Genomic DNA, 17,469 nt, shown 5'->3' with positions numbered 1-17,469 from the left:
CTTTCTTTCTCCCTCTCTTACATGCATGCACTTGTGTGCGCACACGTGCACACACACACACACACACACATGCCATTTATTCCTTTTTTGTTCATTCATTATTCATGGTATAACCAGCTTTTTTTCTGAATATACAATATAGACTTTTTTTTAAATATAGAAAATACACGAAGAAGTAAAGTAGAAAGTAAAGGCCGGGCACGGTGCCTCACGCCTGTAATCCCAGCACTTTAGGAGGCCGAGGCAGGTGGATCATGAGGTCAAGAGATCGAGACCATCCAGGCTAACACGGTGAAACCCCATCTCTACTAAAAATACAAAAAATTAGCCGGGTGTGGCGGCATGCACCTGTAGTCCCAGCTACTCAGGAGGCTGAGGCAGGAGAATCACTTGAACCAGAGAGGCAGAGGTTGCAGTGAGCTGAGATGGTGCCACTGCACTCCAGCCTGGGTGACAGAGCGAGACTTTGTCTCAAAAAAAAAAAAAAGTAAAGCTCAACTTAATTCCACCACCTAGAGATGATTACTATTAATGCTTCAATCCATATCTCTTTATATGTCTTTATAATTTATACACATTTGTATGTATATTTCAGAAATGAATCCTACCATGCCAACATGTTTTATAACATATTTTCCCCCCCAATAAATTGCATAACTCTTCCTATGTCAATATAGATGTTTTTCATCATTTTTAATGGCTGCATAGTATTCTATTTTATGAATAAATCATAACAAGTCACTTAATTTTTTTTTAGATGGAGTTTCACTCTTGTTGCCCAGGCTGGAATGCAATGGTGCAATCTTGGCTCACTGCAACCTCCACCTCCCGGGTTCAAGCAATTCTCCTGCCTCAACCTCCCTAGTAGCTGGGATTATAGGCATCTGCCAACACCCCTGGCTAATTTTTGTATTTTTAGTAGAGACAGGGTTTCACCATGTTGGGCAGGCTGGTCTCAAACTCCTGACCTCAGGTGATCCACCCACCTCAGCCTCCCGAAGTGCTGGGATTATAGGTATGAGCCACCGTGCCTGGCCACAGGTCACTTTTTAAACTTTTTTATTAACATATAGTTGACAAATAAAAATTGTATATATTGACCAGGTGCGGTTGCTGGCACCTGTAATCCGAGCACTTTGGGAGGCCGAGGCAAACAGATCACCTGAGGTCAGGAGTTCGAGACCAGCTTGCCAACATGGCGAAATCCTGTCTCTACTAAAAATATAAAAATTAGCCCGGCATGGTGGCAGGCACTTTTAATCCCAACTAGTTGGGAGGCTGAGGCAGGAGAATCGCTTGAATCTGGGAGGTGGAGGTTGCAAGTGAGCTGAGATCACACCACTGCATTCCAGCCTGGGGGAGAGAATGAGACTTCATCTCAAAGAATAAATAAATAAAATAATATAAAATAAAAATAAATAAATAATTGTATATATTTTTGGTACAATGTGATGCTTTGATATATATATATATATACTTTGTGAAATTATTAAATTAAGCTAATTGTCATATTCATCACCTCACATACTTACCATTTTTTGTTTTGAGATCATAAAAATCTCTTAGCAACTTTCAAGTATACATTATTAACTGTAGTCATCACATTATGCGATAGATCCCTTAAACTTATTTCTCTTAACCGAAACTTTGGACCCTTTCACCAACACCTCCCCATTCCCCACCCCACAGCCCCTGGCAACCACCATTCCACTCTCAGCTTCAACGAGTGCCACTTTTTTAGATTCCACCATGTAGGTGAGATCATGAGATATTTATTTTTCTGTGCCTGGCTTTTTTTCACTTAGCACATCCTTCAGGTTCATCCATGTTGTCAAAAAAGAAATGTCCTTCTTTTTAAAAACTGATTAGTGTTACATTGTGTGGGGTGTGTGTGTGTGTATGTGTGTGTGTGTGTGTGTGTGTGTCTGCATATCTGTGTTTGTTTCTTCATTCATCTGTGGAGGGATACTTAAGTTGATTCTGTATCTTGGTTATTGTGAATAGTGCTGCGACAAAGATGGGAGTGCAGATATGTCTTTGACATACTCGTTTTATTTCTTTTGGATCTATACCCAGTAGTGGGACTGCTGGATCATATGGTAGTTCTATTTTTAATTTTTGAGGAAACTCCATACTATTTTCCATAGTGACAATTCCACAGTGGCAATTTACATTCCCACCAATAGTGTACAAGGGTTCCCTTTTCTCCATATCCTAGTCCAACAGTTTTGATCTTTCATCTTTTCGATAATAGCCATTTTAAAAGGGGTGAGGTGATATCCCATTGTAGTTTTGTATTTCCTGATGATTAGTGATACTGAGCATTTTTTCCTAACAAGTCACTTTCCTTGGGAGGCATATAGGTGATTTCTAATTTTTTTGCAATGGAAACAATGTTGTGATAAACATCCTTGCATGGAGTTTTTGTTTGCTTGTCCAGTTATTCCCCCAAGACAGTGATTCTCCAAGTGTGTTCCATGGAGCCCTGGAAATGCCTGAGGGACTTCAGCAGGGGTGAGGTGGCTTCAGGCTTCTTCTGCCTGACTTCTGCCAGGCTTCAGGGCTGCATCCCCTAACACTGCTTTGGCAATTGTAGATGCACTTCCCTCTGCTCAATTTTGTGTGAAGGAAGAGTTTCACTACTAAATGCAACTGGAAATTGGGTGCTTAGAATGTAGTCAAAGAAAAAGTTGTTAGGTAAAAGATGCCCATTTAAAGATCTGATACAGGTTGATAAATACCGTTGCTCGCCAAGAAAGGGCATGCTTATTTACATTATTAAATTATATGTACCAAAAGTATATGTGCCTATATTCTGCCACACCAATAGTTTTCATTTATACTGATTTAAAAGCATGCATATCATTCCTTTAATTTAGATGTCCTTGACTAGTGATTGTATTAGTATCCTATTGCTGCTGTACAAACTACCACAAAGTTAATGACTTAAAACAACACAAATTTATTATCTTATAGATCTGGAGGTCAGAAGTCCAAAATGAGTCTTACAGGGCTGAAGTCAACATGTGGCAGAGCTGTATTCCTTTCTAGAAGCTCTGGAGGAGAATTCATTTCCCCTGCCTTTTCCAGCTTCTAGAGGCTACCAGCATTCCTTGGCTTGTGGCCCCTTTCTCCGTCTTCAGAGCACAGCACTCCAATCTCTGCTTCCTTCATCACATCTCTTTCTTTGACTTGGACTCTCCTGACTTTCTGTTTCACTTATAAGGACCCTTGTGATTACACTGGGCCGACCCAGACAATCTAAGGTAATCCTCTCATCTCAAAATCCTTAACTTAATCACACCTGCAAAGTTCCTTTGCCATGTAAGGTAATATATTCACAGTTTTGGAGATTAGGATATGAGCATCTTTCAAGGGCTATTCCTGCCATCACAGTAATGATATAGAACACATTTTCTTTTGTTTGTTGTTAATTTGTAGTTATTTCATAAATGATCTCTCTGTGTCCTTTGCTCATTTTTCTATTGGGATATTTGTATTTTTCTAGCTGATTTGTTTTTAAATTTTTACATATTTTGGAGTTGTAAACATATAGCCAATTACATAAGTTGCAAATACTTTTTTCCATACTTCTAGTTTTTAAACTTTCCTTAGCCTACTATGTACTACTCTGTTCCAGCTGCCATAATAAAATACTGTAGACTGGATGGCTCACACAACAGAAATTTATTTTCTCACAGTCTTGGAGGCTGGAAATCTGAGATTAGCATGCAAGTATTGTTAGTTTCTAGTGAGGGCTCTCTTTCTGGCTTGAAGATAGCTGCCTTCTCACTGTGTCCTCACATGCGAGAGAGAGAGAGACAGAGAGACAGAGAGAGAGAGAAAGAGCCCTCTGGTATCTCTGCTTATAAAGACACTAATCCTATTATGAGGGCCCCACCCTCATGACCTCATGTAACCCTAATTACCTCCCAAAGGACCCAACTCCAAATACCATCACATTGTGGGTAAAGCCTTCAACGTGTGAATTTTGTGGGAACATAAACATTTAGTCCATAAATGGGTTTTATGGAAGATGTTGGATGTTCGTGTGCTCAAATCTGTCAATCTTTTGTTTTAATTCATTTATTCTCTGAAACAGGGTCTAACTCTGTCACCCAGCCTGAAGTGTAGTAGTGAGATCATGGCTCACTGCAACCTCAACCTCCCAGACTCAAGCAATCCTCCTGCTTTAGTCTCCTGAGTAGCTGGGACAACAGACACAGGCTGCCACGCCCAGCTAATTTTTTAATTTTTTTTTTTTGTAGACAGGGTCTTGCCACGTTGCCCAGGCTATGTCAATCTTTTGATGCCTTTTTGGCTTCAATATGTTTAGCTTAGTAAGACTTCCCTCATCTAAGATTTATAAATATGTACATATACTTCTTAAATTCTCGTATATTTGTTTTATTTTACATCCAAATTTAACCATTCTGAAATCCAATTTCAGATGAGGTCTGACTCCTTTTTTACCCACTTAAACTATTTTGGTTACCATTTTATTCTTCAAATACAACTTCTAATAGGTTCTAAGCACTTAAGCCTCTAACCAAAGACTAGAGCCCTGGATTTGCCATCATCTGAATGCTGGCCTGTTGCAATTCACTTTATTTCTTCCCTTTCTGTGCTAGTTATAGAAAACTATTTTTTGTCTATCTGGAAAATCCATTCATTCAGTAAAGACCAACAATTAAAGCCAGCTGTTTTTTTTTTTAAGGAAACAGTGAGTTTCCTTAATATTTCAGGCTTGAAAAGCTTTCCATGAATAGCAGTTTAAGATCAACTCATCCAAGTGTGTACTAAGACTTTCACATTATTTTGAATCCTAAAGTTATTTGATCTTCAAAACAAATGGGGAAAAATATTCTACCTATGGAATAAACCTATTTAGATAGTTGAATTTTAAAAAACTTATGCTTCAGGTGCGGTGGCTCACACTTGTAATCCCAGCACTTTGGGAGGCTGAGACAGGCAGATCACCTGAGGTCGGGAGTTCGAGACCAGCCTGGCCAACATGGTGAAAATACACACACATACATACTCTCTGTTTCTCTCTCTCTCTCTCTCTCTCTCTCTCTCTCTCTCTCTCTCTATATATATATATATATATATATATATATATATATATATATACACACACACACACACACACACACACACACACACACAAATCAGCTGGGCATGGTGGCACACGCCTGTAGTCCCAGCTACTGGGGAGGCTGAGGCAGAAGAATCGCTTGAACCTGGGAGACGGAGGTTGCAGTGAGCCAAAATCGCGCCACTCCACTCCAGTCTGGGTGACAGAGCAAGACTCCATCTAAATAAATAAATAAATAAATAAATAAATAAATAAATAAATGTAATATGAGAAGCCAGGAGAGGAGTGAGTTGATGAAGGAGTGAGCAGAACACGTGTAAGAACACCCTTAAGGAGATGAAAGGAGAGGGTAGAAGAAAGACCCCAAGCCAGTGGCCTCTGTGAATTGGTCACAAGACCACAGTGGGGGATCCTGCTGAAGATGCATAAACTTCCTCAAATAATGACGATGGTCTCCGCTGCCATGTGTCCCTCACCTGCCTCATGGTCCAGTACCCAAATGTTGCCAGAATGAGGACTGAGACTATTGTTCCCCTGTGGGAGAGAAGATTTACATAACTAGGGAGAGTTTGGGGATTGGTGATAATTAAATAAACAAAAACAACAAAACCAATGATTAATCCGAGAAAAAACAAAAAAGTAGGGAAGGAGAAGTAATCGTAATATGTTACATGACTCAGCTGTCAATAACATTAATCGATTCGTAAAAGGTAAACACTTATGCCAGTTATCAATTTACTGCCTCTCCAGATTCACACTGTGAGATTCGGGGTCCTTTGACTATTTCTCCTTTGCAGCCGGCATGATGTTAAAAGCATCGTCAGTAGAGGGCGTTGGAGGGATGCTGAAGGAGGAAGGCGGTTGCTTCCACCATCCAGGTTTTGCTGCTTTTCAATCCTCTCCCCACACCCCCCAATGCGGCAACCAAAGATCCAGTGACAGCTCCATTAGGATCCAGCAGCACCAGATGGATAACTTCCCACAGGGTTCCCGCAGCCTTCCCAGGAATGATCCCCAGTGAATCATGCGGGTGCCTCAGTTGGCTTCCCAGCCTTGGCCTGCCAGCCCTCCAGAGAGGTGTTTTCTGCTTGCCAATCCTGGCCACGGTTTTCTACACATCTCTACCTCGGAGTGGTGTTTTCTTCTTGTCCAGTGGCCTGGAGCAACCCAGAAAACTTCTGTGCCATCTCAGCCTCAGGGAGGGACGTTCCTCCCGGGAGTATCCTTGCATGGGGGAAAAGAACCTCCAGAGGTCTGTAGTAGAAACAGACTTCTGTTACAAAAGGCAAATTAACAAAAGAAAAGCAAACAAATTTATTCACATATATACTTCATAATACATGGGAGATACACAGAGAATGAGTAGTTCTCAAAGTGGTGGCTTGGAATTCCAGCTTAGCTGGCATCTTTAACAAAGAACAGTACACTTTTAGAGAAGTGACAGGACAAAGGAAATGGATTTTGAGTTTCTACAGGCAGCAACTTGAGGAAAGGCAAAGAACTGGCAGATAAAGGCTGGTTAGTAAAGCTTGTTCATATGCATTCCTCTGGCTTCATCTCCAGGCCGAGACAGTTTAAAGCTTTCTTCAGTGGTAACCTTTATTTTTATTTATTTGTTTTATTTATTTATTTATTTATTTATTTATTTTTGAGATGGAGTCTCGCTCAGTAGCCCAGGCTGGAGTGCAGTGGTGCAATCTCGGCTCACTGCAAACTCCGCCTCCCGGTTCAAGTGATTCTCCTGCCTCAGCCTCCCAAGTAGCTGGGATTACAGGCGTCCACCACCACACCCGGCTAATTTTTGTGATTTTAGTAGAGACGAGATTTCACTATATTGGCCAGGCTGGTTTTGAACTCCTGACTTCAAGTGATCTGCCCACCTTGGCCTCCCAACGTGCTAGGATTACAGGCGTGAGCCACTGCCCCCAGCCCCCTTATTTATTTATTTTTATTTTTTTGAGATGGAGTCTCGCTCTGTCACCCAGGCTGGAGTGCAAGTGGAGTGCAGTGGCACGATCTTGGCTCACTACAACCTCTGCCTCCTGGGCTCAAGCAATTCTCCTGCCTCAGCCTCCCAAGTGGCTGGGACTGCAGGGGCCCGCCACCATGCTGGGCTAATTTGTGTGTGTGTGTATATTTTTAGTAGAAACAGGGTTTCACCAAGTTGACCAGGCTGATCTCAAATTCCTGACCTCAGGTGATCCACCAGCCTCAGCCTCCCAAAGTGCTGTGATTCCAGGCATGAGCCACCACATCTGGCCCACTGGTAACCTTCAGAGAGCAAGGAAGGATACTGTGACGGTTAATATTAGGTGCCAACTTGACTGGATTGGGGAATGCTAGGTGGCTGGTATCGTTTCTGGTGTGTCTGTGAGGGTGCTGGGGAGATTGACATGTGAGTCAGTGGACTGGGAGAGGAAGACTCACCCTCAGTGTGGGTGGACACCATCCAATGGCAGCCAGCACAGCCAGAACAAAGCAGGTGAAGAAGGTGGGGTAACTTTGCTTGCTGAGTCCTCTGGCTCTCTTTCTTCTTCCCACGTTGGGTGCTTGCCTCTGCTCCTCCTGCCCTTGGATATCAGACGCCAGATTCTTTGGCCTTTGGACTCTGGGACTTGCACCAGCAGCTTCCCAGGGTCTCCCGGACCTTCAACCGCAGACTGAAGGCTGCACTGTTGGCTTCCCTGGTTCTGAGGCTTTCGGACTTGGACTGAGCCACTACCAGCTTTTCCTTCTCCCCAGCTTGCAAACGGCCTCTTGTAGGACTTTGCCTTGTAATTGTGTGAGCCAATCCTCCCTAGTAAACTCTCTTTTATATACACATATATCCTATTAGTTCTGTCCTCCTGGAGAACCCTGACTCATACAGATGCCCTTTTTCTTTATAGATCTATATTCTTCTTTTAGGCAAATAGAGGAGAATGCAGGGGCAGAAAAGGTGTGATCCCTTTCCTCACCCATCATAAGGGTCATGGCCGACAACTCCTATAACAAAGACAGGTTCACAGGAGAAAAACATAACACAACTTATTTAATCAAAGTTTTACATGACACGGCAAACTTCAGAAATAAAGTCCTAAAGACCCAGGGAAAATTGTCTATTTTTATGCTTAAGTCAAATAAAAAATGGGCAGGCATGTAGAAATGTGACTGGACAACAACAATATGATCCAATGATAATGGATTGAGTGGGGAGACCCGGCAAAGCCTGTATGTTCAGATTCTTCTTGGCTTCTCTGTGCAGCATTCCTTGCTCGGGGGATAGCGCAGGACCCCTCTGGAATGGGAGTCTTATGACCAACTATTTGGCAAGGCAGGCCGGAGAATGTCTTTATGGCCAGCTTCTACACAGAAAGATGGGGAAGATGAGAATGATATGTCTCATTTTAAGGCTTGCTTTGGAGAAGAGGGGATCAGTTTCTAATAACCAGCCTTGGGGAAGTGGAATTCTGGTGTCCATGACTTGCTTTGGGGGAAAAAAGAGGCAGGAGAGATAGAACAGAAAAGATCAGAGAGAACTTGCTTCTGGAGCCTTCCAGTCTCCTTGAGATCAAAGTGCTCAACCCGCCAAAGTGCCGTACTGCAGGGCATTGTTTTCCAAGCCCCAACAGAGGGCAGAGCGCTCTGGTGCGTTTGTTTCTTCTTAAGTGTCTTCAGCTTGATAATCCCTTGTACTTTGGGGAGGGGTACTCTGGTCTCCCACACTTGCCCACCTCTAGGCATTCTTTACAGTTCTCTTTCCCCCTTGATAGATAATCCTATACTGTAGTGAATAACTCTTTATATTAAACTTTCTATGTACCAATTACTCTGTGGTTTCTAACTCCTGATTAGACTTGACCAATACAACACTGAATATGTGTCTAACCAAAGCTTATGTAATTGTTTCAGGAAGACAGGAAGTCAGAAAGTGTGAATGTGTGTATGTGAGAGAGAGAGAGCAATAAAGAGAGCGAGAGAGAGAGCGAGAGTGAAAGTAAAGGCCTTATTTTCCATCGCAAGAAGTTGACAACATACACCTGAAACTGAAAATTTATAGAATATAGTATAAAATTATCTAGAGATTTGAAAGTGGTTCTGTTTAGAGATCAGGAAATGGAGTGAGAGAGATCTGCTAATTTTTGTAACAAGCCTTGGATTTGACTCTTATGATTATAGATAACTTCAATGAGAATTAAAACTGATAAAAAGAGAATTACTAGGACTTTGGAAGGCCAAGGCAGGAGGATCACTTGAGGCCAGGAGTTCGAGATCAGCCTGGCCAACATACCAAAACCCCATCCCTACTAAAAAATACAAAAAAGTAGCTGGGCGTGGTGGCGCATGCTTGTAATCCCAGCTACTCGGGAGGCTGAGACATGAAAATCACTTGAACCCGGGAGGCAGAGGTTGCAGTGAGCCGAGATCATGCCACTGGACTCCAGCCTGGATGACAGAGTGAGACTCTGTCTAAAAAAAGAAAAGGAGAGAGAGAGAAAAAAAGAAAATTACTGAAATAAATAAACAGAGGGGAAGGAAAGAAGGAACGTTACAAAGTTTGTGGGAGTAAACCAAAAATAAAATTCTAAGCACCCCCAACCACTGAATGGATTCCCCCCTTGGCCAAGAGGATCCCAAAGAAAACCCGAGGAAACTTTGTGCAATGGCAGCCAATGAGGTTTACCTGAGGTGTGATTATTGCTAATGGAAAACTCTTCTCAGTACCCTGCCACGATGAGTTGAAATATAGTCAGCATTGGCAATTTTTGACCGTCTCTCCAGAGACTGAACTTTGTTAGTAAAAAAATATATATTAAAAAACAACAACAACAACAACAAAAACAACTCGGGTGCGGTGGCTCTCGCCTGTAATCCCAGCACTTTGGGAGGCTGAGGCGGGTGGATCACTTGAGGTCAGGAGTTCGAGACCAGCCTGGCCAACATGATGAAACCCCGTCTCTACTAAAAATACAAAAATTAGTTTAGCATGTGCCTCACACCTGTAGTCCCAGCTATTCGGGAGGCTGAAGCGGGAGAATCGCTTCAGCTCAGGAGGCAGAGGTTGCAGCGAGCTGAGATTGCACCACTGCACTCCAGCCTGGGGGACAGAGTGAGACTCTGTCTCAAAAAAACAAACAAACAAACAGACAAACAAACAAACCCCAAAACAAACCCTCAAAAAACTAGTTAAGGCCATGATGGGAAGGGAGGTCAGATGTCCTTTGCTACACCCTCCTCCCTTTGGAGTTCAGGCACATGACTGACCAGCATGAACATTCACAAAGAGATTATAAGACTGACAAAACAGACTGTAGCAACATGATACCAAGTTCCAACCTGATGCTGGTGTAGCATCACATGAGAGATAACAGGCCCTAGAGGAAATCAAAGTATTTTACCCCCAAATATATTTCTTTGACATATTTTGGAATAGCTCCGCAAAGCCATCTCTTGCGGGGAAAATTTGCATTCTCTAGAGAATCTCCTTCCCTTACTAGGACTATTTTGGAGAGTCTGATACCTTTCAAGGCCCAGTAAGAGACATATACCATCTATTCTCTCTGAAGCTGACTTAGAGACTTTATATAACAAAAACCTGGGGTTCCACAATCCCCCTTATCTTGACTCAAGCATTGCTTTATGCTGACTCAGCTCTTCAGGCAAAGCTTAACTCTTTCAACCAATCACCAATCAGAAAATCTTTGAATCCACCTATGACCTGGAAATCCCCTGCTTCCAGATGTCCTGCCTTTCTGGGCTGAACCAATGTATACCTCACATGTGTTGATTTATGTCTTTGCCTGTAACTTCTGTTTCCTTAAAATGTATAAAACCAAGCTGTAACCCAACCACCTTGGACGCATGTTCTCAGGACCTCCTGAGGCTGTGTCATGGGTCATGGGCCTCACATTTGGCTCAGAACAAACTTCTTCAAATATTGTACAGAATTTTGCTTTCTTCACCAACAGGGGCATTAAAAGATGTGTCACTGGGATTTTTTTAAATTAAACACACAATATATGATCAAACTAATTTCTGCCAAACTAATTTAATGGGATGAGAAAATAGGCCCATTGTCTCCCACATTTCTTTCTTCCTTGAAAGAAAGGATAGGGATGGAGGAAATGCATGCCTTTGGTTACCTAGAGCTGCAGTCCCCAACCTTTTTGGCACCAGGGACCGGTTTTGTGGAAGACAATTTTTCCACCAGTGGGTGGTGGAGGAGTGGGGGGATGGGGCAGATGTTTCTGGGGTGAAACTGTCCACCTCAGATCATCAAGCATTAGTTAGAGTCTCATAAGGAACACGCAACCTAGATCCCTCACATGTGCAGTTCACAGTAGGGTTCACACTCCTATGAGAATCTAATGCTGCTGCTGAGCTGACAGGAGGTGGAGCTCAGGTGGTCAGGCTGGCTTGCCCGCTGCTCACCTTCTGCTGTGTGGCCTGCTTCCTAACAGGCCACAGACAGTACCGGTCCTTGGCCAGGGGATTGGGCACCCCGATCTAGGGTACCAGAAGGGACAGTATAGTAGGACCATGGAAATCTATCTCTACTGGGGAGGGAGGTAAGAACTCCAAATAATTGAAAGCAGTAGCATTATTTCTGTATCCAAAAGAAAGCCCATTAGTCACCCTTGGAGGCTTCCTGTATGCCTCCCTAGGGCTCACTCCTCATAGTCAGAGAAGCAGCAGCGTATGTGGACTTACTTGAATTGTTAATAACTGGGCAAGAATCAAAACACCTTCTTGTTTGTTTGTTTGTTTTTTTCCAGTTGACAAAAATGCACTTGGTCATTTGAAATACAACATAGGTCTTAATTAATTAGCAAAACAATAGGGAGCCATAAGTATTTGTCTAGAAAAGAAGTCTCATGTAGCTAAACAGAAAGCCAATTACCTCATGGGTAGAACAGGGGAGATTGGAGTGGTGTTGCTCAGAATCATGAATTGCACAGAGGTGAGGACAAGCAGGACAGTCTTGGGTGCAATTTTGGTGCTACAAACCGAGCCAGATTGTTGCCTGTGTTGAAAATAAATGTAGTGCTATTCATTTTTAGCTGTGTCTCTATTGAAATGAGAATAAATACAAAATATATAATAAACACCCAAGAAAAATCTACAGTGGCAATATTCTAATACCAGTACAAAAAGGAGCATGTGACTACGAAATTCCCTTGTCCTTTGGTTTTCATCTTGCTAATATGAAAATATAAACACCATTGTTTTTTGAGAATCAGAGTTAATTTGTTAGTAATATTACTAGCACAATGTCTGGCTTGAAGTAGCATTAAATTGTTACCAGAAACGGGTCCTGATGCAGGCCCCAAGAGAGGGTTCTTGGACCTCGCAAAAGAAAGAATTTGAGGCGAATTCATTGAATAAAGTGAAAGCAAATTTATTGGAGAAGTAAAGAAACAAAAGAATGGCTACTCCATAGGCAAAAGGCCCTGAGGGCCGCTGGTTGCCCATTTTTATGGTTATTTCTTGATTATATGCTAAACAAGGGGTGGATTATTCATTAATTTTCTGGGAAAGGGGTGGGCAATTCCAGGAACTGAGGATTCCTACCCCTTTTCGACCATATAGGGTAACCCCCTGACATTGCCATGGCATTTGTAAACTGCCATGAGCTGGTGGGAGTGTCTTTCAGCATGATAATGCATTATAATTACCATGTAATGAGCAGTGAAGATGACCAGAGGTCACTTTTGTGGCCATCTTGGTTTTGGTGGGTTTTGGCCAGCTGCTTTACCGTCACCTGTTTTATCGTCAAGGTCTTTGTGACCTGTACCTTGTGCCGACCTCCTATCTCATCCTGTGACTTAGAATGCCTAACCTCCTGGGAATGCAGCCCAGTGGGTCTTATTTTACCCAGCCCCTGTTAATGATGGAGTTGCTCTGGTTCAAATGCCTCTGACAAAATGACTGATAGCATTACTGGTATTTTCATTACTTTTATCATCATTTTAATTATTAGTAGTATTTGAAAGCAGAGTCACAACCACAGATGGTTTCAGGAGCCAGGCCAGGAACATAAGTGCAGCAAGTGGGACTTCTGGGGACTGTGGAGAACCGGAAGGTGCACATCCCCTCCCAGCAGAGCAGCTCCCTGTCGGCTTTAGAAGAGCATGTGAAAATGCTGGTCTCATCATCATTATCCTCATCCTTATTCTTTTTACAGGAAAAGCCAGAAATCCAGGTTTTTATGTGAAATCTCCCAATTTTAAACATTGAGGACTAAACCATTTTTATCTGTGGGGAGGATGGGGCCCATAAACCTTATACACTGTTTTAAAGAAACAACAGTCCAGGTGCAGTGGCTCACACCTGTAATCCCAGCACTTTGGAAAGCCAAGGCGGGCAGATCACCTGAGGTCAGGAGTTCGAGATCAGCCTGGCCAACAATGGTGAAACCCCATCTCTACTAAAAATACAAAAATTAGCCGGGTGTGGTGGCATGCACCTGTAGTCCCAGCTACTCGGGAGGCTGAGGTGGGAGGATCGCCTGAGCCTGGGAGGTGGAAGTTGCAGTGAGCTGAGATCGTACCACTGCCCTCCAGCCTGGGCAACAAGAGTGACACTCAAAAAAAAAACAACAACAACAAAACACACAACAACAAAAACAGTGTCCACCAGCTAGAGGACCCAGCTTCCTCTTTGGGACACTGTCATTATCGGTCTTTCTTAGCATTTCCCATGTCCTCCCAGACACAGCACACACTGCTTTCTCTGGTTAACTTGTCATCAGGGTTTTGTCAATGCTTTTGCAGGCTGGGGTGAAGCAGGTTACCACATGCAGCCAGGGCAAGGCTCTCACCAGGGGTTCCTCCTGGCCCTCTTGGTCCCAGGATAATAGAAGGACCATATCAGATGCCCTCTCTTCCTCCCTTTGGGTCTTTCCTTAACCCCCCTCTAAGACCCTCTAGGAGCTATGAGCCCCACCTAAGGAAAGTGTCTGAGACAGTTATTCACACTAAAGTGTTAATGATTTAACAGCTCACCCTTCACAATGGGTGTCTATATTTTCAAAGAGAACACTCAGAAAGGAAATAGAATTAATTACTACTGCAAGAATTTTAGGGTTCTTGGCACTTCAGAGGAAGGACTGTGTTTACTTCAAAGTCTTCCTTGGCTTTTCTGATTATACCAGGGGAGCAAAACCAAACTCCGTCTTTGGAGAAGCGAGCAGAGCTCCAGCTTCTTTCTTCTGAGGGCTGTTTCAAAAGTTTTTGCAGAGCCAGGAGAAGAAGATGCTATTAGGTCCTCCCTATTGTTGAGGACTTCTTAAAGAGCAGGCCTTGCAATTTAAGTGTTTGGCCACCAGGTGGTGGAAGTGTGTCGTGACCACGTAATCTGCACCGTGGCAAGGGAAGCGGAGCTCACCTTGCATCAAACTACCTTAAAAATAGAGCTCTGACTTCCTTTCCTCACAGCCATGTTCAATCTAGAGTTAATCAAAACGTGTTTGCCTTTCTAGCAATTTCTGGCTAAAAAGGTCTGTGTTGTAACCCAGAACACCTTTGCGGAAAAATTTCACCCGTCTGTCTACCCCTGAGAAAGTTGAGTTCCTGTACATAGAAAGTGTAAAACTTTAGAACATTCCTTTTTCAATGAGCTCATCTCTGCCATCTGCCACTTTATTTTTAATTTTTTTATTTTAATTTTTTTTTTTTTTTTTTTTTTTTTTTTTGAGACGGAGTTTTTCTCTTGTTGCCCAGGCTGGAGTGCAATGGCGCCATCTCAGCTCACCACAACCTCCGCCTCCCTGGTTCAAGCAATTCTCCTGCGTCAGCCTCCTGAGTAGCTGGGATTACAGGCACCCGCCGCTACGCCCAGCTAACTTTTGTGCTTTTAGTAGAGACGGGGTTTTGCCACTTTGGCCAGGCTCGTCTCGAACTCCTGACCTCAGGTGATCTGCCCACCTCGGCCTTCCAAAGTGCTGAGATTGCAGGGGTGAGCCACCACGCCTGGCCCTGATATCTGAATTTCTGGCATCATGATTCTCTGAGCCATCCAGGCCCAGATCCCAGTGCTCTCTAACTTTCCCCCACTTCTGTGAATCCCTGACAATACTTCTCAGGAATTTCTGTAGAATCCAGCTCTTCCTTTCCATTCCTACACCACTTGCCTCTCTGGGATCAAGCTCAAGGACCATTCTGCGTCTCTGCTCATCAAGCTCCCTGTGCTCAGCAGGCAGCCGGCCATCACACTGGCACCACCATGCCGGGCTCCAGCTCCAGCCCCAGCAGGAGGAAGTCCAGAGACTTAGTCCAGGATCTGAATGCCAACCTTTCCAGCAGTGCCTCGCCATTCTTCTGACCAGACTTGCATTCTTTCCTCAAGGAGAGAAGGGTAATGGCAAGGATGGTGGTAGAAGGGCAGCAGGGATGGGGAGATGGGTAGCTTCACCCTACATGCCACATAGTTCTGCATCTGTCTCAGCTGTGCCAGGACAAACTTTTGCAGGTGTAGCAGGTACGAACATTTCTCATCTACAAACTTAGATAACTTCAAGATTCCCCCTTCCCTCGTTCTTCCCCTTTGAATGAGTTCCAAATCTTGCTGGATTTGGGCAACAGCGTGGCATTGGTGGGGAAATGCAAGCTCTCCTTGGTTCTGCTCTGTCCTATGCTGGCCTCTGCTGCCATGTGCAGGGTGCCCCACTGGGGTCTCCAGTTCTGAATCTCTGGAAAGGCCTCCTGCAGCCTTTGCCTCCAGAAAGGTCCCAATGCACATAGGCTGTTCCCCCATTTGGCTAGTTGCTGATGATTTTATTACCAGTGATAACAGTAGCTCATATTTATTGCACTATATGCCAGTCTTCATGCTGGGGACTTTTTAGGTTTCATCCCATTTAATTGTCACAAGAACCCTATGAGATAGGTGCTAATACTATCTCTGCTTTACAGATAAGGCTCAGAGAACATAAGTAATTTTGCCCAAATTAATAGCTAAGTAGTAGAGCCGGACCCTATGTCTAGAGTCCAGTGTTTATACTCCTTAGCCACTCACTACAAAACCCTTCCTCTTCTGGAGAGCCCCTGGATTCCTTCCTTCTCACCACTTTGCTTAGATGACTCTTGTGTTCTTGTGCTGGTCAGGGGCTAAAATTAAGTTAGTTATGTGTACTCTGCTATAATTCTATCAACCATTAATTTATTCCATCAACCACGGTGGAGAGAGAAGGCAGACTTAGCATCTGCCCTCTGGAAGGTCACATCAGGCCATTCTGAGTGGTTTGCTCAGAGGTGCTTCAGCATTGCCAAGGCGGATGCTGTCTGATCATGCAAACAAAAACACCTCTGTCATTGCTAAAGGCCACCAAGGCTATCAGTTAGCCCAGCTAAGAGCCAAGGGAATGACCGTATTGACCTGACCTGAGACCTCTGGGGAGTCCCCGAGACCATTCCCAAGAGCCACTGCCCTTAGAGGGAAACCCCAGTCTGCCAATGGTAGGTGATGAATGAGAGTCACCAGAACTAATCACTTTAGCTGGTCAAAGAGGCAGAAATAGAATGGAAGGTGGAAGGGGAAGGATGAAGGAGAGAGCAAGGCAGAGTGCCGGCCCCCCTGATGAGAAAGCTCTTGGCGACGCTACCATAGCTGCTTTATGTTAAAAATGTCATCCAGTTGGGAGTCCTGTCTCTCAAAGTTCTGTGCCAACTTCACCCAAAGGTTACCTGTTGTCAGAGGGAGCCCAGGTGGAAAGTGAAGTGGGAGGGATTCCGGTAGCTGATTTCATTCTGGTTTAGCTGGTTTCTGTTTAAGTAAATACATAGTGATAAAGCTCAATTGTTCACTAAATGGCAGTAAAGTATACCCTGTCATCCCAAAGTGATAGTAGACTTTGTTTTGTTTTGTTTTGGTTTGGTTGTTTTTTGTTTTGTTTTGTTTTGTTTTGTTTTGTTTTGTTTTTGAGACAGAGTTTCACTCTCGTTGCCCAGGCTAAAGTGCAATGACGCAATCTCGGCTCACGGCAACCTCCACCCCCTGGGTTCAAGCAATTCTCCTGCTTCAGCCTCCAGAGTAGGTGAAATGACAGGCGCCTGCCACCATGCCTGGCTAATTTTTTGTATTTTTAGTAGAGACGGGGTTTCACCATGTTGGCCAGGCTGGTCTTGAACTCCTGACCTCGGGTGATCTGCCCACCTCAGTCTCCCAAAGTGTTGGGATTACAGGCATGAGCCACCGCACCCAGCCAATAGCAGACTTTAATATAAACAGGATAGTTCCACATCTTCCAAAGAAAATAGAATCAAGAGAAGCAAAGGTAGCATTGAGGTATCTGGAAAGGGGGCTGGTGAAAATAGATGTACATGATGAACGATCTGGTGGTCAAGGCTTAAGATTCCACACTGATCTATGTGGCTGTTCTTATTAAAGCATAA

The 17,469-nt window shown here is 43.7% G+C and overlaps 1 pseudogene, besides 4 other annotated features; it reads left to right on the top strand.

Annotated features, from left to right (window-relative positions):
* Positions 8,878–8,987: an enhancer, noted in NCBI's record as "active region_27717". NCBI's record gives its function as "activates an Ori minimal core promoter by ATAC-STARR-seq in GM12878 lymphoblastoid cells {active_cell/tissue: GM12878}" and the evidence as "EXISTENCE:reporter gene assay evidence [ECO:0000049][PMID:35858748]".
* Positions 9,028–9,077: an enhancer, noted in NCBI's record as "active region_27716". NCBI's record gives its function as "activates an Ori minimal core promoter by ATAC-STARR-seq in GM12878 lymphoblastoid cells {active_cell/tissue: GM12878}" and the evidence as "EXISTENCE:reporter gene assay evidence [ECO:0000049][PMID:35858748]".
* Positions 9,730–9,862, top strand: RNU4-83P (RNA, U4 small nuclear 83, pseudogene; annotated as a pseudogene).
* Positions 14,303–14,362: a silencer, noted in NCBI's record as "silent region_19424". NCBI's record gives its function as "represses an Ori minimal core promoter by ATAC-STARR-seq in GM12878 lymphoblastoid cells {active_cell/tissue: GM12878}" and the evidence as "EXISTENCE:reporter gene assay evidence [ECO:0000049][PMID:35858748]".
* Positions 14,413–14,482: a silencer, noted in NCBI's record as "silent region_19423". NCBI's record gives its function as "represses an Ori minimal core promoter by ATAC-STARR-seq in GM12878 lymphoblastoid cells {active_cell/tissue: GM12878}" and the evidence as "EXISTENCE:reporter gene assay evidence [ECO:0000049][PMID:35858748]".

This window comes from Homo sapiens, chromosome 8, assembly GCF_000001405.40.
Source record: "Homo sapiens chromosome 8, GRCh38.p14 Primary Assembly".
Classification (NCBI taxonomy): domain Eukaryota; kingdom Metazoa; phylum Chordata; class Mammalia; order Primates; family Hominidae; genus Homo; species Homo sapiens.
The sequence above is the reverse complement of the archived record's forward strand: the minus strand, read 5'-3'. Positions and strand labels throughout refer to the sequence as shown.